At 37.6% G+C, this 26,470-nt stretch overlaps 1 protein-coding gene across 19 annotated transcripts in view; it reads left to right on the top strand.

Annotated features, from left to right (window-relative positions):
• Positions 1 to 26,470, top strand: part of ZFYVE16 (zinc finger FYVE-type containing 16) — a 75,770-nt gene that overhangs the window by 18,478 nt on the left and 30,822 nt on the right. For 5 of the 19 annotated variants that reach the window (XM_005248632.5, XM_047417941.1, NM_001105251.4 and 2 more), the window contains 9 exons: positions 8,022 to 8,130; positions 10,669 to 12,920; positions 13,849 to 13,945; positions 17,036 to 17,197; positions 19,176 to 19,318; positions 21,939 to 22,317; positions 23,504 to 23,626; positions 24,344 to 24,499; positions 25,398 to 25,622. In XM_005248632.5, the coding sequence (XP_005248689.1) occupies positions 8,061 to 8,130; positions 10,669 to 12,920; positions 13,849 to 13,945; positions 17,036 to 17,197; positions 19,176 to 19,318; positions 21,939 to 22,317; positions 23,504 to 23,626; positions 24,344 to 24,499; positions 25,398 to 25,622 (3,607 nt within the window). In that variant the 5' untranslated portion in view covers positions 8,022 to 8,060. The other 14 variants (XM_017010092.3, XM_017010091.2, XM_024446270.2 and 11 more) reach the window with 10 other exon arrangements.

Raw genomic sequence — 26,470 nt, forward strand, 5'->3', positions numbered from 1 at the left:
AATATAACAGAGGCTTAATCACATCATATACCATGCTCATGAATTGGAAATTTCAATATTATTAAGGACAGGGTTCCCCGGATTGAGATATATATATATATATGTGTGTGTGTGGTGTGTGTGTGTGTGTGTGTGTGTGTGTATGTGTGTGTGTCTGTGTGTGTGTGTGTGTGTGTGTGTGTGTGTATATATATATATATATATATAATTAAATTTAAAGTTCCAGGATACATGTGCAGGATGTGCAGGTTTGTTACATAGGTAAACGTGTGCCACGGTGGTTTGCTGCACCTGTCAACCCATCATCTAGATATTAAGCCCCACATGCATTATTTATCCTGATGCTCTCCCCTCACCACCACCCCCCCACCCCAGCAGGCCCCAGTGTGTCTGGTTCCCCTCCCTGTGTCCACGTGTTCTCATTGTTCACCTCCCACTTATTTTAAGTGAGAACATGAGGTGTTTGGTTTTCTGTTCTTGCATTAGTTTGCTGAGAATAATGGCTTTTAGCCTCATCCATGTACCTGCAAAGGACATGATATTGTTCCTTTTTATGACCACATAGTATTCTATGGTGTTATATATACCACATTTTCTTTATCCAGTCTATCATTGATGGGCATTTGGGTTGATTCCATGTCTTTGCTATTGTGAACATACACATGCATGTATCTTTATAATAGAATGATTTCTATTCCTTTGGGTGTATACCAGTAATTGGATTTTGCTGTGACAAATGGTATATCTGATTCTAGGTCTTTGAGGAATCGCTACACTGTCTTTGCATAGAAGTGTTCCTATTTCTCCACAGCCTCACCAGCATCTGTTGTTTCTTGACTTTTTAATGATTGCCATTCTGACTGGCCTGAGATGGTATCTCATTGTGGTTTTAATTTGCATTTCTCTAATGATCAGTGATGTTGAGCCCTTTTATGTTCATTGGCCATATAAATGTCTTTTTTTTTTTTTCCTTTTTCTGGAGAATGGGGTCTCGCTATATTGCCCAGGCAGGTCTCGAACTCCTGGGCTCAAGCTATCCTCCTGCCTCTTGCCTCCCTGAGAGCTGGGATTACAGGTGTGAGCCACTGCGCCCGGCCACACATAAATGTCTTCTTTTGAAAAGTGCCTGTCATGTCCTTGGGTAGGATAAATTCTTGATTTTTTTCCTTTAATTGATCAATTCTCAGAATAATTGGTTAGTGCCCTGCTAACCCTCCAATGAGTGGTATGTTTTGTTTTTGTCTTTAGTATGATTTGATCTTTTGTTTTTTTAAAAAAAATCTATTTGATTTGTGTTTAGTCCTTCACAGTTTTCATTCATTTGATGCTCACTTGTCCCATTTAAGCCAGTGCCCTTCAACTTGGCTTTTGTCCTTTTGATATTATCCCATTACTTATTGACAGATTCCTGTGAGGTTTCTCGGGCTTATTTGGTGGAGTTTCTGTTCCAGACCAGAGGTTCGTCTACTTTTTTCATCTTTTCATAAAACTAACTGTTAGTTTCTTGTGCCTCTGTCGTATGCTTTTTTTTTTTTTTTTTTGAATTTTTGCTCTTAGTTTATTAGTTTTCAGTCTTTCTTCTTTTGTAGTATAAGTGTCTAAGGTGGCCAGGTGCAGTGTCTCATGCCTGTAATCCCAGCACTTTGGGAGGCTGAGACGGGCAGAAGACTTGAGGTCATCGAGACAGCCTGGCCAAAATGGTGAAACCCCCACTCTTCTAAAAAAGGTTCAAAAGTTAACTGAGCCTGGTGGCGCACGCCTGTAGTCCCAGCTACTCAGGAGGCTGAGGCAGGAGAATCGCTTGAACCTGGGAGATGGAGGTTGCAGTGAGCCAAGACAGCATCACTGCACTCTAGCATGCGTGACAGAGCGAGACTCCATCTCAAAAAAAAAAAAAAAAAAAAAAAAAGATGCGGTTCCAAGATGGCCGAATAGGAACAGCTCCAGTCTACAGCTCCCAGCGTGAGCGACACAGAAGACGGGTGATTTCTGCATTTCCAACTGAGATTTGAAGAGAGCAGCGGTTCTCCCAGCACGGAGTTTGAGATGTGAGAACGGACAGACTGTCTCCTCAAGTGGGTCCCTGACCCCCGAGTAGCCTAACTGGGAGGCACCCCCGAGTAGGGGCAGACTGACAACTCACATGGCCGGGTACCCCTCTGAGACGAAACTTCCAGAGGAATGATGAGGCAGCAACATTTGCTGTTCAGCAACATTCACTGTTCTGCAGCCTCCGCTGCTGAAACCCAGGTAAACAGGGTCTGGAGTAGACCTCCAGCAAACTCCAACAGACCTGCAGCTGAGGGTCCTGACTGTTAGAAGGAAAACTAACAAACAGAAAGGACATCCACACCAAAACCCCATCTATACGTCACCATCATCAAAGACCAAAGGTAGATAAAACCACAAAGATGGGGAAAAAACAGAGCAGAAAAGCTGAAAATTCTAAAAATCAGAGTGCTTCTCCTCCCCCAAAGGAACGCAGTTCCTCACCGGCAATGGAACAAAGCTGGACAGAGAATGACTTTGATGAGTTGAGAGAAGAAGGCTTCAGACGACCAAACTTCTCCGAACTAAAGCAGGAAGTTCGAACCCATCGCAAAGAAGCTAAAAACCTTGAAGAAAGATTAGACGAATGGCTAACTAGAATAACCCATGTAGAGAAGTCCTTAAATGACCTGATGGAGCTGAGAACCATGGCATGAGAACTACATGACAAATGCACAAGCTTCAGTAGCCGATTCGATCAACTGGAAGAAAGGGTATCAGTGATTGAAGATCAAATGAATGAAATGAAGCAAGAAGAGAAGTTTAGAGAAAAAAGAATAAAAAGAAACGAACAAAGCCTCCAAGAAACATGGGACTGTGTGAAAAGACCAAATCTACGTCTAATTGGTGTACCTGAAAGTGACTGGCAGAATGGAACCAAGTTGGAAAACACTCTTCAGGATATTATTCAGGAGAACTTCCTCAACCTAGCAAGGCAGGCCAACATTCAAATTCAGGAATACAGAGAATGCCACAAAGATACTCCTCGAGAAGAGCAACTCCAAGACACATAATTGTCAGATTCACCAAAATTGAAATGAAGGAAAAAATGTTAAGGGCAGCCAGAGAGAAAGGTCAGGTTACCGACAAAGGGAAGCCCATCAGATTAACAGCTGATCTCTCAGCAGAAACTCTACAAGCCAGGAGTGGGGGCCAATATCAACATTCTTAAAGAAAAGAATTTTCAACTCAGAATTTCATATCCAGCCAAACTAAGCTTCATAAGTGAAGGAGAAATAAAATCCTTTACAGACAAGCAAATGCTGAGAGATTTTGTCACCACTAGGCCTGCTGTACAAGAGCTCCTGAAGGGAGCACTAAACATGGAAAGGAACAGCTGGTACCAGCCACTGCAAAAAACATGCCAAATTGTAAAGACCATCGATGCTAGGAAGTAACTGCATCAACTAACGAGCAAAATCACCAGCTAACGTCATAATGACAGGATCAAATTCACACATAACAATATGAACCTTAAATGTAAATGGGCTAAATGCTCCAGTTAAAAGACACAGACTGGCAAATTGGATAAAGAGTCGAGACCCATCAGTGTGCTATATTCAGGAAACCCATCTCACATGCAGAGACACACATAGGCTCAAAATAAAGGGATGGAAAAAGATATACCAAACACATAAAAAAGGCAGGGGTTGAATCCTAGTCTCTGATAAAACAGACTTTAAACCAACAAAGATCAAAAGAGACAAAGCCATTACAGACTGGTAAAGGGATCAATTCAACAAGAAGAGCTCACTATCCTAAATATATATGCACCCAATACAGGAGCACCCAGGTTCATAAAGCAAGTTCTTAGAGACCTACAAAGAGACTTTCACTCCCACACAATAATAATGGGAGACTTTAACACCCCACTGTCAACATTAGACAGATCCACGAGACAGAAAGTTAACAAGGATATCCAGGAATTGAACTCAGCTCTGCACCAAGCGGACGTAATAGACATCTACCGAACTCTCCACCCCAAATCAACAGAATATACATTCTTCTCACCACCACATTGCACTTATTCCAAAATTGACCACATAGTTAGAAGTAAAGCACTCCTCAGCAAATGTAAAAGAACAGAAATTATAACAAACTGTCTCTCAGACCACAGTGCAATCAAACTAGAACTCAGGATTCAGAAACTCACTCAAAACTGCTCAACTACATGGAAACTGAACAACCTGCTCCTGAATGACTACTGGGTACGTAACGAAATGAAGGCAGAAATAAAGATGTTCTTTGAAACCAACGAGAACAAAGACACAACATACCAGAATCTCTGGGACACATTCAAAGCATGTGTAGAGGGAAATTTATAGCACTAAATGCCCACAAGAGAAAGCAGGAAAGATCTAAAATTGACACCCTAACATCACAATTTAAAGAACTAGAGAAGCAAGAGCAAACCCATTCAAAAGCTAGCAGAAGGCAAGAAATAACTAAGATCAGAGCAGAACTGAAGGAGATAGAGACACAAAAAACCCTTCAAAAAATCAATGAATCCAGGAGCTGGTTTTTTGAAAAGATCAACAAAATTGATAGACTGCTAGCAAGACTGATAAAGAACAAAAGAGAGAAGAATCAAATAGACGCAATAAAAAATGATAAAGGGGATAACACCACCGATCCCACAGAAATACAAACTGCCATCAGAGAATACTATAAACACCTCTACACAAATAAACTAGGAAATCTAGAAGAAATGGATAAATTGCTGGACATATACACCCTCCCAGGACTAAACCAGGAAGAAGTTGAATCTCTGAATAGATCAATAACAGGCTCTGAAATTGAGGCAATAATTAATAGCTTACCAATCAAAAAAGTCCAGGACAGGACGGATTCACAGCCGAATTCTACCAGAGGTACAAGGAGGAGCTGGTACCATTCCTTCTGAAACTATTCCAATCAATAGAAAAAGAGGGAATCCTCCCTAACTCATTTTATGAGGCCAGCATCATCCTGATACCAAAGCCTGGCAGAGGCACAACCAAAAAAGAGAATTTTAGACCAATATCCCTGATGAACATTGCTGCAAAAATCCTCAATCAAATACTGGCAAACTGAATCCAACAGTACATCAAAAAGCTTATCCACCGTGATCAAGTGGGCTTCATCTCTGGGATGCAAGGCTGGTTCAACATATGCAGATCAATAAACGTAATCCAGCATATAAACAGAACCAAAGACAAAAACCACATGATTATCTCAATAGATGCAGAAAAGGCCTTTGACAAAATTCAATGGCCCTTCATGCCAAAACCTCTCAATAAATTAGGTATTGATGAGACGTATCTCAAAATAATAAGAGCTATTTATGACAAACCCACAGCCAGTATCATACTGAATTGGCAAAAACTGGAAGCATTCCCTTTGAAAACTGGCACAAGACAGGGATGCCTTTCTCACCACTCCTATTCAACATAGTTTTGGAAGTTCTGGCCAGGGCACTCAGGCAGGAGAAGGAAATAAAGGGTATTCAATTAGGAAAAGAGGAAGTCAAATTGTCCCTGTTTGCAGATAACATGATTGTATATTTAGAAAACCCCATCGTCTCAGCCCAAAATCTCCTTAAGCTGATAAGCAACTTCAGCAAAGTCTCAGGATACAAAATCAGTGTGCAAAAATCACAAGCATTCTTAAACACCAATAACAGATAAACAGCCAAATCATGAGTGAACTCCCATTCACAGTTGCTTCAAAGAGAATAAAATACCTAGGAATCCAACTTACAAGGGAGGTGAAGGACCTCTTCAGGGAGAACTACAAACCACTGCTCAATGAAATAAAAGAGGATACAAACAAATGGAAGAACATTCCATGCTCATGGATAGGGAGAATCAATATCGTGAAAATGGCCATACTGCCCAAGGTAATTTATAGATTCAGTGCCATCCACATCAAGCTACCAATGACTTTCTTCACAGAATTGGCAAAAACTACTTTAAAGTTCATATGGAACCAAAAAAGGGCCCGCATTGCCAAGTCGATCCTAAGCCAAAAAAACAAAGCTGGAGGCATCACGCTACCTGACTTCAAACTATACTACAAGGCTACAGTAACCAAAACAGCATGGTACTGGTACCAAAACAGAGATATAGACAAATGGAACAGAACAGAGCCCTCAGAAATAATACCACACATCTACAACCATCTGATCTTTGACAAACCTGACAAAAACAAGAAATGGGGAAAGGATTCCCTATTTAACAAATGGTGCTGGGAAAACTGGCTAGCCATATGTAGAAAGCTGAAACTGGAATCCCTTCCTTACACCTTATATGAAAATTAATTCAAGATGGGTTAAAGACTTAAATGTTAGACCTAAAACTATAAAAACCCTAGAAGAAAACCTAGGCAATACCATTCAGGACATAGGCATGGGCAAGGACTTCATGTCTGAAGCACCAAAAGCAATGGCAACAAAAGCCAAAATTGACAAATGGGATCAGATTAAACTAAAGAGCATCTGCACAGCAAAAGAAACTACCATCAGAGTGAACAGGCAACCTACAGAATGGGAGAAAATTTTTGCAATCTACTCGTCTGACAAAGGGCAGATACCCAGAATCTACAAAAAAACTCAAACAAATTTACAAGAAAAAAACAAACCAACAACCCCATCAACAAGTGGGCGAAGGATATGAACAGACACTTCTCAAAAGAAGACATATATGCAGCCAAAAAACACATGAAAAAATGCTCATCATCACTGGCCATCAGAGAAATGCAGATCAAAACCACAATGAGATACCGTCTCACACCAGTTAGAATGGCGATCCTTAAAAAGTCAGGAAACAGGTGCTGGAGAGGATGTGGAAAAACAGGAATGCTTTTACACTTGGTGGGATTGTAAACTAGTTCAACCATTGTGGACGTCAGTGTGGCGATTCCTTAGGGATCTAGAACTAGAAATACCATTTGACCCAGCCATCCCATTACTGGGTATATACCCAAAGGACTATAAATCATGCTGCTATAAAGACACATGCACACATATGTTTATTGCGGCACTACTCACAATAGCAAAGACTTGGAACCAACCCAAATGTCCATCAATGATAGACTGGATTAAGAAAATGTGGCACATATACACCATGGAATACTATGCAGCCATAAAAGAGGATGAGTTCATGTCATTTGTAGGGACATGGATGAAGCTGGAAACCATCATTCTCAGCCAACTATCGCAAGGACGAAAAACCAAACACCGCATATTCTCACTCGTAGTTGGGAATTGAACAATGAGAACACCTGGACACAGGAAGGGGAACATCACACACCAGGGCCTGTCGTGGTGTGGGGAGATGTGGGAGGGATAGCATTAGGAGATATACCTAATGTAAATGATGAGTTAATGGGTGCAGCACACCAACATGGGACATGTATACATACGTTAACAAACCTGCACGTTATGCACATGTACCCTAGAACTTAAGGTATAATATAAAAAGTATATAAAAAAAACTCCAGAGAAGTTTATAGAAAGAGATGACATGTAAACCCTGCTGAAAAATAGTTTCATTTGTTAGAATATAATTGTCTTCCACTAAAAAAAGAAAAAAAAAAGCATTTAAGGCTCTAAGTATCTCTTGAAGTACCACTTTTCCTGAATCCCAGAGTTTTTATGTGCATTATTTTTATGCGTTTGTAGTTTGATATGTTGTATTTATAAGTAGTTTTAGCTTTCCATTATGAATTCTTCTTTGACCCATGAGTTATTTAGGTAAGTGTTTAAAAATTTACAATAGTTTATATATGCAAATATTATGTTGTTAGAGTTGGTTTTCATGTCATTTTTACATATACAGGGGCAGTTTCCCCAACTAAATTGTATATTCCTTAAAGCAGCACTCTTAAATTTTATTTCTGTGTCAATTTCTTGACTGTGTTTCCTGGCATGGAATACATGGCATAAAATTTGTTATGTAATTAAATGAAATATTATTATACTTTCTATTTTTTAGGCATACAAGAATTAAATTCTGAATAAGTCTGCAGGTAGGATGGACAGTTATTTTAAAGCAGCTGTCAGTGACTTGGACAAACTCCTTGATGATTTTGAACAGAACCCAGGTTTGTTGATTTTCCATTTTTGCCGCTAATGGGATTTAAAAATATCTGTAATTAAGTTATCTCAGGTATACAGTAATATTAGCAAAATTTTCTTTCAATTTTGGTCACGTTATCTTCTGCAAAAAGTTCATTTATTTCATAATAAGATGTTAGTTGATTCTTAGACTGAATGGGACCCATAGCCAGAAACAGAAGTAAGGAACCTAGAAAGTTTTTTTCTAGATACAAATTAGCTATAAGACAGACATTTCTTTTCTTTTCTTTTCTTTTTATTTTTGAGACAAAGTCTCATTCTGTCTCCCAGGCTGAAGTGCAGTGGCACAATCAGAGCTCATTGCAGCCTCAACCCCCGAGGCTCAAGCATTTCTCCCACTTCAGCCTCCAAGTGGGACCATAGGTGCATGCCACCATGCTGGCTAATTTTTCAGTTATTTGTAGAGACAGAATCTTCCTATGTTGCCCAGGCTGGTCTCGAATTCCGGGGTTCAAGTGATCCTCCTGCTTCAGCCTACCAAAATGTTGGGATTATAGGCATGAGTCATGTACTTGGCCCCAGAAAGACCAACATATGAGCAAGCTAAAAGCAACTTGAGAGTTCTGCATGAATTGATATTTCATTACAACAAGAGATGGTATTTTATTTTATTATTATTTCTTTTTTGAGATGGAGTTTCACTGTTGTTGCCCAGGCTGGAGTGCAGTGGCGCCATGTCAGCTCACTGCAACCTCCACTTCCCGGGTTCAAGCACTTCTTCTGCCTCAGCCTCCTGAGGAGCTGGGATTACAGGCACCCCCCACCATGCCTGGCTAATTTTTTGTTTGTTTGTTTGTTTCTGAGACGGAGTCTCACTCTCTTGTCCAGGCTGGAGTGCAGTGGCATGATCTCGGCTCACTGCAACTTCTGCCTCCCAGGTTCAAGCGATTCTCCTGCCTCAGCCTCCCGAGTAGCTGGGACTACAGGTGCCCACCACCATGCCCAGCTAATTTTTGTATTTTTAGTAGAAACGGGGTTTCACCATATTGGCTAGGCTGGTCTCGAACTCCTGGCCTTGTGATCCACCCGCCTCAGCCTCCCAAAGTGCTGGGATTACAGGCCTGAGCCACCAGGCCCGGCCTAATTTTTGTATTTTTGGTAGAGATGGGGTTTCACCATGTTGGCCAGGCTAGTCTTAAACGCCTGGCCTCAGGTTATCCGCCTGTCTCAGCCTCCCAAAGTGCTGGGATGATAGGCGTGAGCCACCACGTCTGGGTGTTATTTTCTTTAAAACGAAGACTAGGAAACTGGAAGTCAAAACAAAGACGTTGGATTGTTTTTTAGTTCTTCCTTAGTCTGGTTTTTATAGTGCAACTAAGTTTCTTTTTTTTCTAAGAGACAGGGTCTTGCTCTTTCACCCTAGCCGGAGTGCAATGGTGCAGTCATAGCTCACTGCAGCCTTGAATTCCTGCCCTCAGGCAATCCTCTCACCTCAGCCTTCTGAGTAGCTGGGACCACAAGTGTGCGCCAGCATGCCCGGCTAATTTAAAAATGTGTATATTTTTTACAGATGGGGTCTCACTGTGTTGCTCAGGCTGGTCTTGAACTCCTGATCTCAAGTTATCCTCCGACCGTGGCTTCCCAAAGCGCTGGGATTACAGTTGTAAGCCACCATTCCTGGCCACAACTAAGTTATTTTTTTGAGTGGAATTTTTATCACTTTATGATATCTACATTCAAAAGTAAAATCCAGGAAGTAATTTAAAGTCAAATAAAAATAGCTTTGGGTTCTCTCTCCTGCTGCCTTGTGAAGAAGGTGCTTCTCCTTTGCCTTCTGCCATGATTGTAAGTTTCCTGAGGCCTCCCTAGCAATGCAGAACTATTGGCTTCTTTTATCTGGATGTGGCTGTGGCCATCAACAGCTCCAGATTCACACTGACAAGTCTCCTTCCTTTCTTCAAATTTGGAGTAACAGGAGAATGCCTCTTAAGTGGCCCATCTTGAAACCATCACATGCCCATCACCGTGGCCATAGCGTGTGATGCTACTACAATTGGCAACCTCAATTAGAGCACCACAGGGGAGTGAGGGTAGGATCCAGGTGACAGAAAAATGAACAAGTAGAAAGCCAACTTGAGGAGTCCTCCCAAACAAAGCAAAGATCAAGGACATCAAATTATCAGAGCAACTATGCATGAGATCAAGATCTAAGGACATTCGTTTATGCAGTCAGTTAGTCATTTCTTGAACACTTAAGTTTCAGGAATTATTTTAAGCAATAGGGGTGTAAGTCAGAAAAAAAAGAGACAAGGTCCCTGCACTTGTGACACTTACTTTCTAGTTAATTGAAACAGCCAATAATCACAAACAAGATAATTTCAGATAAAAATAAATGCTCTAAAGGAAATACAAAAATAGTTTTGGAGGTGATTTGTGTTTTGCAAAAGGATAATCTATGTTCTTTTAAAAAAGTGTATTTAGTTTAGAAGTCTTGGGAAACATAATATGTTTAATAATTTTTATTTGATTTAAGTCTCCCGAATAACACTGTTTCTCTATTTCAGATGAACAAGATTATCTCCAAGATGTACAAAATGCATATGATTCTAACCACTGCTCAGTTTCTTCAGAGTTGGCTTCCTCACAGCGAACTTCATTGCTCCCAAAAGACCAAGAGTGCGTTAATAGTTGTGCCTCATCAGAAACAAGCTATGGAACAAATGAGAGTTCCCTGAATGAAAAAACACTCAAGGGACTTACTTCTATACAAAATGAAAAAAATGTAACAGGACTTGATCTTCTTTCTTCTGTGGATGGTGGTACTTCAGATGAAATCCAGCCGTTATATATGGGACGATGTAGTAAACCTATCTGTGATCTGATAAGTGACATGGGTAACTTAGTTCATGCAACCAATAGTGAAGAAGATATTAAAAAATTATTGCCAGATGATTTTAAGTCTAATGCAGATTCCTTGATTGGATTGGATTTATCTTCAGTGTCAGATACTCCCTGTGTTTCTTCAACAGACCATGATAGTGATACTGTCAGAGAACAACAGAATGATATCAGTTCTGAATTACAAAATAGAGAAATCGGAGGAATCAAAGAATTGGGTATAAAAGTAGATACAACACTTTCAGATTCCTATAATTACAGTGGAACAGAAAATTTAAAAGATAAAAAGATCTTTAATCAGTTAGAATCAATTGTTGATTTTAACATGTCATCTGCTTTGACTCGACAAAGTTCCAAAATGTTTCATGCCAAAGACAAGCTACAACACAAGAGCCAGCCATGTGGATTACTAAAAGATGTTGGCTTAGTAAAAGAGGAAGTAGATGTGGCAGTCATAACTGCCGCAGAATGTTTAAAAGAAGAGGGCAAGACAAGTGCTTTGACCTGCAGCCTTCCGAAAAATGAAGATTTATGCTTAAATGATTCAAATTCAAGAGATGAAAATTTCAAATTACCTGACTTTTCCTTTCAGGAAGATAAGACTGTTATAAAACAATCTGCACAAGAAGACTCAAAAAGTTTAGACCTTAAGGATAATGATGTAATCCAAGATTCCTCTTCAGCTTTACATGTTTCCAGTAAAGATGTGCCGTCCTCATTGTCCTGTCTTCCTGCGTCTGGGTCTATGTGTGGATCATTAATTGAAAGTAAAGCACGGGGTGATTTTTTACCTCAGCATGAACATAAAGATAATATACAAGATGCAGTGACTATACATGAAGAAATACAGAACAGTGTTGTTCTAGGTGGGGAACCATTCAAAGAGAATGATCTTTTGAAACAGGAAAAATGTAAAAGCATACTCCTTCAGTCATTAATTGAAGGGATGGAAGACAGAAAGATAGATCCTGACCAGACAGTAATCAGAGCTGAGTCTTTGGATGGTGGTGACACCAGTTCTACAGTTGTAGAATCTCAAGAGGGGCTTTCTGGCACTCATGTCCCAGAGTCTTCTGATTGTTGTGAAGGTTTTATTAATACTTTTTCAAGCAATGATATGGATGGGCAAGACTTAGATTACTTTAATATTGATGAAGGCGCAAAAAGTGGCCCACTAATTAGTGATGCTGAACTTGATGCCTTTCTGACAGAACAGTATCTTCAGACCACTAACATAAAGTCTTTTGAAGAAAATGTAAATGACTCTAAATCGCAAATGAATCAGATAGATATGAAAGGCTTAGATGATGGAAACATCAATAATATATATTTCAATGCAGAAGCAGGAGCTATTGGGGAAAGTCATGGTATTAATATAATTTGTGAAATAGTTGATAAACAAAATACAATAGAAAATGGCCTTTCTTTAGGAGAAAAAAGCACTATTCCAGTTCAACAAGGGTTACCTACCAGTAAGTCTGAGATTACAAATCAATTATCGGTCTCTGATATTAACAGTCAATCTGTTGGAGGGGCCAGACCTAAGCAATTGTTTAGCCTTCCATCAAGAACAAGGAGTTCAAAGGACCTGAATAAGCCAGATGTTCCAGATACAATAGAAAGTGAACCCAGCACAGCAGATACCGTTGTTCCAATCACTTGTGCTATAGATTCTACAGCTGATCCACAGGTTAGCTTCAACTCTAATTACATTGATATAGAAAGTAATTCTGAAGGTGGATCTAGTTTCGTAACTGCAAATGAAGATTCTGTACCTGAAAACACTTGCAAAGAAGGCTTGGTTTTGGGCCAGAAACAGCCTACTTGGGTTCCTGATTCAGAAGCTCCAAACTGTATGAACTGCCAAGTCAAATTTACTTTTACCAAACGGCGACACCATTGCCGAGCATGTGGGAAAGTAAGTTATAAAAATCTTTTAAGTCTTTTGTTCTTTTGAGACATTTTAAACAAATACAATGTGATAGAAAAGGCTGATGAACAGATAATTACAAGATTGAGTTAGTTTAAAATCAGTGTTTTTCATCTACCAGTCAGGGAAATATATAAAGCAGTGTCATTTTGCAGATTGCTTGATGGTTGAATAAATGTTACATTGTCAGGGGCATTAAGTACATGCTGGGAAATGAGAAACAATTATTTAGTTACTAATTTTTGTGACATTTAAGAATATTTGTTCTTATCTCTCTAATATTGACACATTAAATATTCCAGATTTGGTCAGATTCCCCTTTGTCCTTGAACATTTAATTTCAAGACCAATCTACAGCTAGTGTTGTGATCAATGCCCAGGGAAACACTCCAGAGCAAATTGGCTTCCACAGGGTTCAGAATACTGAAGCTGACCTTGAGTTCTGACTGATAACAGTCAAGATAAAAAGATTGTCTATAAATTCTAAGGGTTGCCCATAGAAATCCTATTACATTTTTATTCAGATTTTTCAGTAATATGTTGGTTTCAGATCAGTCCTATTTTTTTTTAACAAAATAACATTTTACTTTAAAAAGTTTTAAATGAAGAACTACAGAGAACTTTTTAATATTATGAACTTATTCATTAAAGATAGTTTTTGTTCCCTTTCCAATGAACAGAATTGATTTAAAGGAATTCTCCTTATCAGAAATATGGTATCAAATTGCAGAAACCTCATTTAAGTTACAAAAAAAAGAATCATTTAAGAATTCCTATGATTATGGTGATTAGGAAATGATTTATACAATAAGGAAAAAGAATTTTGGTTAATTAGGTTTAGGACCTCCCCACACTGCCTCTAGTAGGTGTAAGTATTCTTGAAACAAAGACAAATTTGATATTTTATTCTTTATAGGTATTTTGTGGTGTCTGTTGTAATAGGAAGTGTAAACTGCAATATCTAGAAAAGGAAGCAAGAGTATGTGTAGTCTGCTATGAAACTATTAGTAAAGGTGAGTATTAACTTGATATATTTTCTTCCAGTAATTGAATATATCTTAAAATTAATTGGATTGTGACAAAGATAAACTTCTTTATTTTCTTAAGGCAAGGACCTAGTGTTGAATTATCTGGCTTAGGTGGGACATCCCAAGGCTTGGTTTCTCTTCTTTTTGTTCCACTCTCACAATTAATACTACCAATCTGGAAAGGAAGCATTCAGTTTCTGGAGTGGCAGTTCATTAACTTTTAACAGGTACCAAGTCCCTAAATGCTGCATTTCATCTGCCTATTTGTTTTTGTCATCATCATTGTCATGTTAATCATCTTAATCTAAATAAACACTTACAGATACCTACCAATAGTAGTACTCAATATTATGTATTAATAGCACAGGGCAAGATAATAGTTCACACCCTTTAGAAAATAACAACCTAAAATGAGAGTAGAAGATAAGGTGGTAATATTTATGATTTTATAAATTCATAGGACTGCCACACTATTTGCACATTTTTGTCTCATGTTTTTTTCTTTTCTCAACTTTAGAATTTTGCATATGTACACTTCCCATTATTTCTTTGGCTCTCTAATTAGCTACAATTATTAGCAATATTCTTGGTGGTCTTTGAGTTCTCACAGGTGTGTGTGTGTGTGTGTGTGTGTGTGTGTGTGTGTGTGTGTGTGTGGTGTTTTTTTCCCCAAGTCCATGTTTATTCTTTTGAGTACCACTTGGCATTTTCAAAGATTCGTTGACAGTTTAATTCCTAGCAAATATTACTTGGGCCTTTTTTGACCAGACCTGTGCACTAGCTCAGGCACTGCTTCCTGTTAGCCAGGGGAATGAATACCTGATAATAATTTGTTTTTCTCTTTTGAATGAAGATAACTTTTTTCAGCAATTCTCCAAAAAGCTCTGATGTGAGTCTGTTAGCCTGAGGTAAGCTGCTTTTCTCCCTGCTGTTGACCTCTGCTCTGGAAGATAACAAAGCGTAAATCTTTTTATGTTTCCATGTTACCACCATTGTTTATGAAGAGGTTAGTTTAAGTGCTTATAGTTGTTTTGTTTTTTCTTATGCTGTTTCAGTAGCCTAGAAGATGACTGCTGGTGCTGTTAGCCAAGGCAATCTGCTAGAATTCAGAAATTTTAGAGCAAGCTCCCATATAATTATCTCCCCCACTTAAAAAGAAATTAAACATCCATGAAGATTTGAAACGTTATTTATGTTGACAGGTCAGATTTTTGGGTGAACATTCAGACATATTTTGACTCTAAGGGTCCAGGAGGGGAGAAGATATGATCATTAAAGAAATTCAGTAGAATACTGAGATCAAGCTTTGGTTTATCAAAGAAAATACTGTGGAATGAGCTTATTTAGTTATCTGTTCAAATTCTATTTTGATGTCTTATAGCATATAGTTTCATTTATGGTGCTATTTGTCATTAATTCATATGCCACAGGAGAGCATAAATAAAAGTTAATACCAGCTTTAGGGTTGAAAATAATAGAAGTGATCATTTAAAATAATGGTATCAAATAAGAAGAGAAAGACGGTTCATGGGTTGTGAGACATATGCCATGAAGGATTGGAAGAAAAAGATAATTTGAATAGAGATTGTAGATAATGAGAAAGCTGTCCTGAGATTATGTGAGTTTCAAGGAAGCACACGTGAATATCAATAAGTAGATTTGAGGCAAGTTAGAAATTACTTTGAAATCCAGAGTAAAGTGTTTGGATTTCACTTGGTTAATGGAAGCCATTTTATGAGTGCCATCATTCAGTGGCACTTGAGGAAGATTGTTTTAGCAGTGGCAGCATTGATAGCAGATCAGTTTGGAGAAATGCTGAAGGGAGAGCTATCAGTGTTCCTTATTTTTTGGATGAAGAATCACTCAGCAGTATTCAGGCACTATTCTGCATTCTGAAGTTCAAGCAGAGAGCAAAATAGAAGCTATATTCTCATGAAATTTATGAATGTATGTAGAGATGGATAGTAAACAAAAAGATATCAGATGGTGATAATACCCTAAATTAAAAAATTTAAAAAGTGTAAGAGTGATAGATAGTTAACAGATTAGTGGCAAAAGGAAATTTTTTCTTTTTGAGATGGAGTCTCACTCTGTCACTCAAGTTGGAGTGTAGTGGTGTGATCTCAGCTCACTGCAACCTCCACCTCCCAGGCTCAAGCAGTCCTCCCACCTCAGCCTCCCTAGTAGTTGGGACCACAGGCACACACTACCACGCCCAGCTAATTTTTTGTATTTATGGTAGAGATGCGGTTTCACCATGTTGCCCAGGCTGGTCTCAAAGCAATCCTGAGCTTAAACGATCTGCCTGCTTTGGCCTCCCAAAGTGTTGGGATTACAAGCATGAGCCACCGTGCCTGGTCTTAGGTGGTATTTTTTATAATGTGATCAGAGTAAGGCTTTATGGTAATATGACATGTGAGCAGAGTCTTGAAGGAAGTGAGATAATGAAGCCGTGTGAGTACGAGAAGAACATTCTAGGCCAAGGGAATAATAGGAGCAAAGATTCTAAGCTGGAGGAATACTTACTTGAAGAACAAGGAGGTCTGGGTAGCTGGGCCATAGTGAATGAGTGGGATTGTAGTGAGAGATGAGGTCAAACAGGTAACTGGGAAAGTGGAGGAGGTAAGGATGAATTATGTTGGGTCTTGTGAGCCATTGTAACAACTTAAATTTTCACTTTAGGTAGCCATTAAAGGATTTTAAACAGAGGAATAATGAGATATGATTTATGTCTAAAAGAATCTCTCTAAACTATGTTGGAAATAGACTCTAGGGGTACAAGGGCAAAAACAGAGACAGTCATGTAATAAGGGTTACTCTCTGTAGATATCAAACATACACCAGATATAATATTGAAATAACTTATTGGTAGCTTATCAAAGTGGCATGCTGCCAACTAAAGAGCCTGTGCTGGCTACTCAGACAGTATCTTTGCCAAGTGCTACTTCTTTTTCTTGATTAGCCATTTCTTTCTTTCTCCTTACAACTTGAAAAATAGAATATTTATTGTAATTTACTTTGAAGTAAATTCCAAAAACATCTGAGATTTTAACACTATTGTTTTCCCCTTTATAGCTCAGGCATTTGAAAGGATGATGAGTCCAACTGGTTCTAATCTTAAGTCTAATCATTCTGATGAATGTACTACTGTCCAGCCTCCTCAGGAGAACCAAACATCCAGTATACCTTCACCAGCAACTTTGCCAGTCTCAGCACTTAAACAACCAGGTGTTGAAGGTAATAGAAGAAAACTGTGTCTTAGACTAAAGATAAATTATTGAAATAGAAATTCTCTAATGTAGCCAGAGTCTAGTCAGGAAAGAGAAACCAGACTAGGTATCAAGAGAGATTTAATACAGGGAATTGGTTACACATGCAGGCTGGAAGACTGGAAGAGCAAAAAGGCTGTGCTCAAGTGCCGCAGCAATTAGTAACTGCAGGAAGCAACCACCACAACTGGAGTTTGGGGCTACAAAAGGGGAGAGGCTAGAGCTCAGTACAGGAGCACCAGGAGGTGCTTGGATCTCAGATGTGGGAGTCAGAAGCCCTGGTCACAGCACCATGAAGAGGCCTCATATAGTTGGTACTCAGATGACTAAAGTAGACCTCCAGATTTGATGTTAGGAGTACTGAAAATCATGAGTCTAGCAGCTGTATCTGTTGGTGGTGCTGCTGCAAAGATCCTGGCAGGAACCAGAAACAAAGAATTCCTTCTTATTTCTTCCCACCTTATGGTCTCCCACCAGTGCCTGCTATTGGAAAAAGCTGACCAAAGCCAGTAACAAGAGAGTCTGGGAATTGCACTTTCCAGACTTCCAGCCTGGCATCCAAGAGCCCACTGTAGAGGGTGAGCTTGGGTTTGAGAGGCAATAGGTAAATAATTGTTCTATCTCCTTTTCCTTAAAATCTATTTTTAATTGTGTATTTTACCACAGAAATAATATTTTTTAAATCTATTTTTAAATCTTTGAGTTGTCTGTTCTTTTTTACAACCTGTCATCAATTAGCATCTTGGGTAAGGCACATGTAGGTCTTTAAATATGAATTATTAGTCTGTAACATGCTAGAAAAGAATCATAAGTATCAGTTAAAGGCAAATTTGAATCCTATTTTTGTGGACTTCAGTTTATTACTCAGTAACTATTTTCCATTTATTATAATGAAATAAGGAGACTCAGCATTATATGGTCGTATATTATAGCTCTAAAGATGAATAATTTGTGTTTGAAAATATGTATATATTCTATTGATAACCCAAATGATTAAATTATAAAAATGTTGCAAATACAAGAAAGATATCTTATTTAATATGTCTACCTACATTGCAAAAAATATGTATATATAATTCAAATTTTTTCAGAGTTATCTTTATGATGTTCTGGAAAGCAGACATTGAACTTTTTTTTTTTTTTTAAAGTATTCTAAAATCATCTGGCAGAGATTTTCGTAACCTTCCTCTATGGATGCTTTGTAAGAAAAGAGAAAAATGTTTATGCTGATATCTAGTTATTTCCTTCAAATTTGAAAGGAAATATTGATACATATGAATAAAATTCAGTATCCACATTATAAGAACAAAAAATGTTATGCTTCTCTTGTTAAATAAAAGAAAGAAATGTCCTGTGGTAGTAAGAAATGTCCTGTGATATTAAGACATTTCAAGTGATCCTGTTACCTTTTTTTAGGTTTTTAAATTTCTTTTTTTCTTTATATATATATATGAAGAATATATAGATAAGCAATATATATATATGCTTCAGTCTACTGCACTTTTCATCACTGTACTTTAGTCCCTAAATTTTATTCAGTCTCTACTCCTTACTCACACAAACAGCCTCAATAATACAGGCTTTAAATCGTCCTTCCCTGTTGTCTTTAAGGTGTAATCTCTCCTATCTACTCCTCTTCAGAGTGATTCCCAGACCCACCTCTGGTCTAATATGCTATGAATTAGATAGATCTCCTGTCCATTCCTTTTCATAGTATATGATTGCCAAGGCCACTCCTGCTCCCTTTGTACGAATTAGATAGAAACAGACTCCACTTAGGATAGAGGAATCACAAAAGGCCATTTCTCTAGATCTTTGTAGCCCTGAGAATTCAGGGGTTGCCAGTGGATAGCAAAAAGCTTTTGAAAACATTTCACAATCTTTTTGGCATTAAATCATTGCCATATTACCAGATTCAAATGTTTTACTTTTTCAATTGATTCTAGGACTATGTTCCAAAGAACAGAAGAGAGTATGGTTTGCAGATGGTATATTGCCCAATGGTGAAGTTGCAGATACAACAAAATTATCATCTGGAAGTAAAAGATGTTCTGAAGACTTTAGTCCTCTCTCACCTGATGTGCCTATGGTAAGGAATTCAAAGAATAACTTAATTGACTAAACAAAATTTTATTTCGTAGATAATTCCTGGTGTGATTATTAGAGTGCTTTTTTTTTTTTTTAACACTTTGAGCTTCCTAAAATAAGAGATGTATTGATATAGTGAATATATTTTAGATTTTACCCCCTTTAAAAAAAAGAGAGAGACAGTCTTGCTGTGTTGTCCAGGCTGGAGTGCAGTGGCATAATTACCAGTCACTGCAGGCTCTAACTCCTGGGCTCAAGTGATGCTTCCACTTCAGCCTCCCAAGTAGCTGGGATCACAGAAGTGAGCCACCATGCCTGGTTTAGACTTTACTGTTAAAAAAAATGTTTTTTTAATTACTTTTTTTTTTTTTAGAGATGTGGTCTCACTATTTTGCCCAGGCTGGTCTCAAACTCCTGATCTTTAGTAATCCTCCCATCTCATCCTCCTGAGTCATTGAGATTACTGGTATAAATCACCACACCTGGCAGATTTTACCTTTTTTTTTTTTTTTTGAGATGGAGTTTCTGTTGCCCAGGCTGGAGTGCAGTGGTGCGATTTCAGCTCACTGCAACTTCTGCCTCCCGGATTCAAGTGATTCTCCTGCCTCAGCCTCCGGAGTAGCTGGGATTACAGGCATCCACCACCACACCTGACTAATTTTTGTATTTTTAGTAGAGACGAGGTTTCACCGTGTTGGCCAGGCTGGTCTCAAACTCCTGACCTCAAGTTATCTGCCCATCTCGGCCTCCCAAAGTGCTGGTTATTACAGGAGTGAGCCACCGTGCCTGGCCCAGATTTTACCTTTTTTAAATGTCAGTTTAAGAGACTGGTTCTCACACTTTCAGCTTCAGGACCCCTTTATACTCTTATTGAGAACCCTAAAGTGCTATAGATTTCGTGGGTTGTACCTATTGATAATTACTATATTAAAATTAAAATTCAGAAATTTAAAAAATATTTATTAACTAATTACAAAATAAGGCTATTACATTAGCAGAAATAATATTTTATGAAAAATTTTTTTCAGAACAAAAGTTTAGTGAGAATAATGGCATTATTTTACATTTTTGCCAATTTCTTTAATGTCTGGCTTAATAGAAGACAAACATATTCTCACATCTGGTTCTACATTCTGTGTGTTTTGATATGTTATTTTTTTTGTTAAATTATATGAAAAAAATTCTAGGACCTCACCAATTCCCTGAAAGTGTCTTGGGGACCCCAGGGATCTCTGAACCACATTTTGAGAACCAGTGGTATGGGGAAATGTAACTGAGATTTAGTAATTTAATTTATACTAATATCTATTTAGTTATTTTCAAACATTCAAGAAAGTATGTGATGGTGATATTTATGCTTACATTTACACAAATGTGCTAGGTGTTAAACAGAAGATATATAATATAGAATCCAGATCACTAAGAATTCTCATTGTAAAGTGGCACATACTCATAGAAGCAACTATTAATGTATGAATTAGTAATGTTTTATGCATTAAATAGATTTATTGAGCATCACTTTGTGCCAGTCACCTGGTCGATTCTGGGTACGTATATTAGAAAAGATGGATACTAGGCCTGGCGCGGTGGCTCATGCCTGTAATCCCAGCACTTTGGGAGGCCGAGGTGGGCGGATCATCTGAGGTCAGGAGTTCAAGACCGCCTGACCAACATGGCAAAACCCCGTCTCTACTAAAAAAAATACAAAAATTAGCCAGGTATTGTGGCGCATGCCTGTAGTCTCAGCTACTAGGGGAGACGGAGGCAGGAGAAAATCACTTGAACCCAGGAGGCAGAGGTTGCAGTGAGCCAGGATTGCGCCAATGTACTGCAGCCTGGACAACAGGGTGAGACTCCATCTCAAAAAAAAAAAAAAAAAAAAAAAAGAGAGAAAAGATGAATATTTATCAGCTCTGTTGAAATTTACATTTGGTAGAAACATATGCTGTTTGTCAAGAGTTCATGAGCTAGACTTTACAAATAGCCGTAATTACCATGGGTATGTTTCCTAGCTAGCACGCACTGTCAATCTGTATTAATGAAAATTCTCAACAGGCTAGTAAATATTGAGTTCATAAATGGTTCTTATTTAATACTGACTTTGTACAGTCTAAAAAGAAAAAGGCTTTATTGAAATAGTCTTTATGGGTAGTTTTTTCCAGGTGGTTACTCTTGTGGAATATAGCTAACGCACTGCTTCCTAACCACTCCCCTCCCCTTCTTCCTGCCTTGTCCCTCCTCCCTGCCTACCCAAGGGTTTTTGGCTATCATAAGAAGGGGAGAGACTTGGATTGAACTAAGCTTGCTCACTGTGTGATATGGTATGGGATCTTGAAGTTCTTCTTGCCTCATTTTTTCCAATCTTAATATTAAGTCATTAATACCTGCCTGAGCATGCAGTAAAACTAAAACCTTATGCTTCTTAATTCCTTATGCTCCTGAATTTGAAGAATCAAAATGGTACTGTTTCTTGGGAAATTTGACTTTAAGAGAATTTCTGAACGCATTTTGGTTTTTATTTATTCTTATTAAAAAGATATGTTTGGCTATAGTGATCTCATTTCATAGTTGAACAGAGAATATGAACTGATTTGTTATTTTTTTTATTACATATTTTACAGACAGTAAACACAGTGGATCATTCCCATTCTACTACAGTGGAAAAGCCAAACAATGAGACAGGAGATATTACAAGAAATGAGATAATTCAGAGTCCTATTTCTCAGGTTCCATCAGTGGAAAAATTGTCTATGAACACAGGAAATGAGGGGTTACCTACTTCTGGTTCATTTACACTAGATGATGATGTTTTTGCAGAAACTGAAGAACCATCTAGTCCTACTGGTGTCTTAGTTAACAGCAATTTACCTATTGCTAGTATTTCAGATTATAGGTTACTGTGTGATATTAACAAGTATGTCTGCAATAAGATTAGTCTTCTACCTAATGATGAGGACAGTTTGCCCCCACTTCTGGTTGCATCTGGAGAAAAGGGATCAGGTAGGGAAGCAGTTATTTAAATTTAAAAAGATTTAAAAATATATACTGATGAATTTTATCTGTGACATATGAAATGTATTTTTTTAACTTAGTTTGGTTGCAATATGTACTAAGGCTGGTAACTTTTGTTTACAGAAAGTCTTATTATATAAAAACAAATTCTAAAAATATTTGAACTTTTATGATCCATTTATCACATCTGGCCCACTAATTTCGAATGATTAAGTCTATGAGGGAAGCTCATAGACTTTTAGCCCGAAGAAATATTTCCATTGTATTAGAATTTTGACACTGTATTATTACTATTTTTTTTTAGGAGCATGATACCTAAAGAAAAGAGCATTAGATTGGATGGCAAAGCTAGGAATTTTAGTTCCTTGTCTGCTACTTTTTACATCTATGACTTGTAGTGTGTTAATCTCCTTGGGCCCCAGTTTCCTTTGTAAATAGAACCTAGATGATTTCTAAGGTCCTTTTCAAGCAGGAGATTCTATGGCTAACCCCCACCCCAGAGTGGTTTCTAGGATAGACACTTGTCACTCCAGGCATTATGTCACATTCTGCAATATGAAATGGCGGTTCTCTGCGTGATAATGTAGAGGAATGAAGCTTTGGATTTCTGTTCTGTCAGTGGGAGCCATTACATGAACCTAGCTGTAGTGGCAAAAATATAGTAAGCCCTATTCTTTGTATGCCATGCATATCTTTCTATTGATTGTCAAGATCTTTTTTTTTTTGCTACCTGGTCACTGATATAGGCATATGGTAGCAAGTAGCTGATATAGGCATGTGGTAACAAGCAGCATATATAACGTGGCTCTAGACTACTTTCATAGACTTGTAAATATCAAAAATTATAAATGGAGTGCTTACCAAACTGGAATCTACTTTATAAAAACGTTTGTCTTCAAACTTTGAAGGTGCTAAAATTATATACATTTGCTGTTTAATCAACAGTATAAATATACTATATGTAATATATGCATTACAGTATTAGTAACTTTACATGGAAAGAGGTAAAAATTAGTATATAACAGTTGTCTGGGGTGTTGATTTTATGAAACATGTTTGCTTCTGTTTTTAAATTTGATCAGGCCACTGGTGGATTTATAAATTTGTTTTTTTCATTTGTAAGCATATTTAACAGGATATTTATCCTGATTAATATATTACTTTCATCATTTAGTGCCTGTAGTAGAAGAACATCCATCTCATGAGCAGATCATTTTGCTTCTTGAAGGTGAAAGCTTTCATCCTGTTACATTTGTCCTAAATGCTAATCTACTCGTGAATGTCAAATTCATATTTTGTAAGTAATAATTTATCCTTATTTGCTTAATTGGTAAGCAGGATTTCTGAATTAATTACATCTTCAGGTTAGATTTTGACTGGCCATGGTGAAAAATAAGCAGGATTGGATATTGGTTTTTCAGCCACATATGACTGTAAATAAATTTTGCAAATTTATGTTCAGTAGGACTTGAAACATGAGCTTACAGATTTTTATTAGCATCCCTGTCAATCTTAGGTTAAGGTCATGGGCTTATATAACTGAGCTGTATTTTGATACTCATGATACAATTGACTATATTTCCTGTGGCTTTTAGATAAATTGAAATTTGGTAACTGAAATAAGCAGGAACCCTGATTTAGTAGCAATAAAGACAGTTTTAAAGTAAGTGACATGTGACCTAATTAAAAAGGAAGTAATCATTAATAATTAATAATCCTCACTACTCCATAATGTATCTGTCAGCTTTTCATTCTATTTGAAACTAAATTCTTATCCACTACATTTCAGCATTTAGTGCATCTTTTATTTTAGTGTTATTTATTAATTGGCTCCCTATGATAATCCTTTTTCTTACTTTATATAAATCTTATACAATTCAATTTAAGGTTTTCATAAGGAGAACTTTGGGAACACAAGGAATTTGAAAAGTTATGTTAAATGCAAAAACAATTGTTCTTAGTTTTTTGACTAATAGAAGTTGACATTAATAGTTATATTCTTTTATCATCTAAGATTCCTCAGACAAATATTGGTACTTTTCAACCAATGGATTGCATGGCTTGGGACAGGCAGAAATTATTATTCTATTGTTATGTTTGCCAAATGAAGATACTATTCCTAAGGACATCTTCAGACTATTTATCACCATATATAAGGATGCTCTAAAAGGTATGGCATTTTATTTTGAACTGTTCAGACTGGGGAATGGATAAATTAGTTAAAGGCATTTATGGTTTTGGCTGTGCTAGCTATACTAAAGATTTATTTCTGTGAAGAGATTGCTGATTTCTGAAAATAGCTTAATAATTATTTTGTCTCCTTAAAACTAGCATTTTATGTGATTAGTGTCTATGCAGATTTTTGTATTTTAAAAATGGAAATATATCCTTATATCCATTTTTTTTTTTTTTTTTTTTTTGAGACAGTGTCTCCACCCCGGCTGGAGTGCAGTGGCACAATCTTGGTTCACTGCAACCTCTGCTTCCCGGGTTCAAGCGATTCTTCTGCCTCTGCCTCTCAGGTAGTTGGGATTACAGGCACATGCCATCATGCCCAGCTAATTTTTGTATTTTTAGTAGAGGCAAGGTTTCACCATGCTGGCCAGGCTGGTCTAGAACTTCTGACCTCAAGTGATCCGCCCGCCTCAGTCTCCCAAAGTGCTGGGATTACAGGCATGAGCCACTGTGCCTGGCCTGCCTCCTTGATTTTTCAGTGTATCTATGTAATTTCCTTACTGTCTGTACAAGACTAGGAGATTTGATAATTTTTCACTTGACCATGCCGTAAGGAGAAAAATTGGAAGGTTGGAAACATTTTCAAATTTTTGTTCATAATCCCCAATATCTAGGAATAACTGGGAGCTTTGTGTACAGAAGGTATTTAATAGATGCTTTTGCAAGAACAGAAATAAGAAAAAAAATCTATAGTGTCTTAACTTCAGACAGTTTATATTGGGACAGTTTATATGTATTGGATCAGTTTTTTGGATTTTGGACAAACTAAGAACATTTCTTCAAAACAATAACAAAACAACTTAAAATCTTTTTACTAATGATTTTATTTGCAGGAAAATACATAGAAAACTTGGACAATATTACCTTTACTGAGAGTTTTCTCAGTAGCAAGGATCACGGAGGATTCCTGTTTATTACACCTACTTTTCAGAAACTTGATGATCTCTCATTACCAAGTAATCCTTTTCTTTGTGGAATTCTTATCCAGAAGCTTGAGATTCCCTGGGCAAAGGTTTTTCCTATGCGTTTAATGTTGAGATTGGGTGCAGAATATAAAGGTAAGTTTTAGAGTAATAAGTTAAATTGCATATTTTCAAATATACTGAATGTAAAGACTTTCAGGGAATCATTAAAATCAATTTTAATGGATTAATGGAACTACTTTTGTTTTGCTATGCTTTTAAAGTTCTAAGACAACCCTCTTCTACTACCAGGTTGGTCTAGATAACTGTGGTATGTCTTCAAGTTTCTAGATGTTCATAAGTTCTTTTATTACCTAAAACTTTTCTTCTTAAATTTCAGAACAAAACAGAAAACTTTCACAGTGCAGGTTGAGTATGCCATATCTGAAATGTATTGGATCAGTTTTTTGGATTTTGGACTTTTTCAGATTTTGGAATATTCACAGAGTACATACCAGTTGAGCATCCCAAATTCAAAATCTGAAATGCTCCAGTGAGCATTTCTTTTGAGCATCACGTTGGCATTTGAAAAAGTTATAGACCGGGCATGGTGGCTCACGCCTGTACTCCCAGCACTTTGGGAGGCCAAGGCGGGCAGATCACATGAGGTCAGGAGTTCGAGACCAGCCTGGCCAACATGGTGAAACCCTGTCTCTACTAAAAATACAAAAATTAGCTGGGTGAGGTGGCAGGCGCCTGTAATTGCAGCTACTCAGGAGGCTGAGGCAGGAGAATCACCTGAACCCAGGAGGCAGATTTGCAGTGAGCTAAGATCATGCCTCTGCATTCCAGCCAGGGTGACAGAGCAAGACTACGTCTCAAAAAAAAAAAAAAAAAAAAAAAAAAAGTTACAGATTTCAGAGCATTTTGGATTTCAGGTTTTTAGATTTGGGATGTTCGATATGTGTTAATTACTTTTGCTAAAATTTTCTTAAAAGCATATA

This window comes from Homo sapiens, chromosome 5, assembly GCF_000001405.40.
Source record: "Homo sapiens chromosome 5, GRCh38.p14 Primary Assembly".
Lineage (NCBI taxonomy): Eukaryota > Metazoa > Chordata > Mammalia > Primates > Hominidae > Homo > Homo sapiens.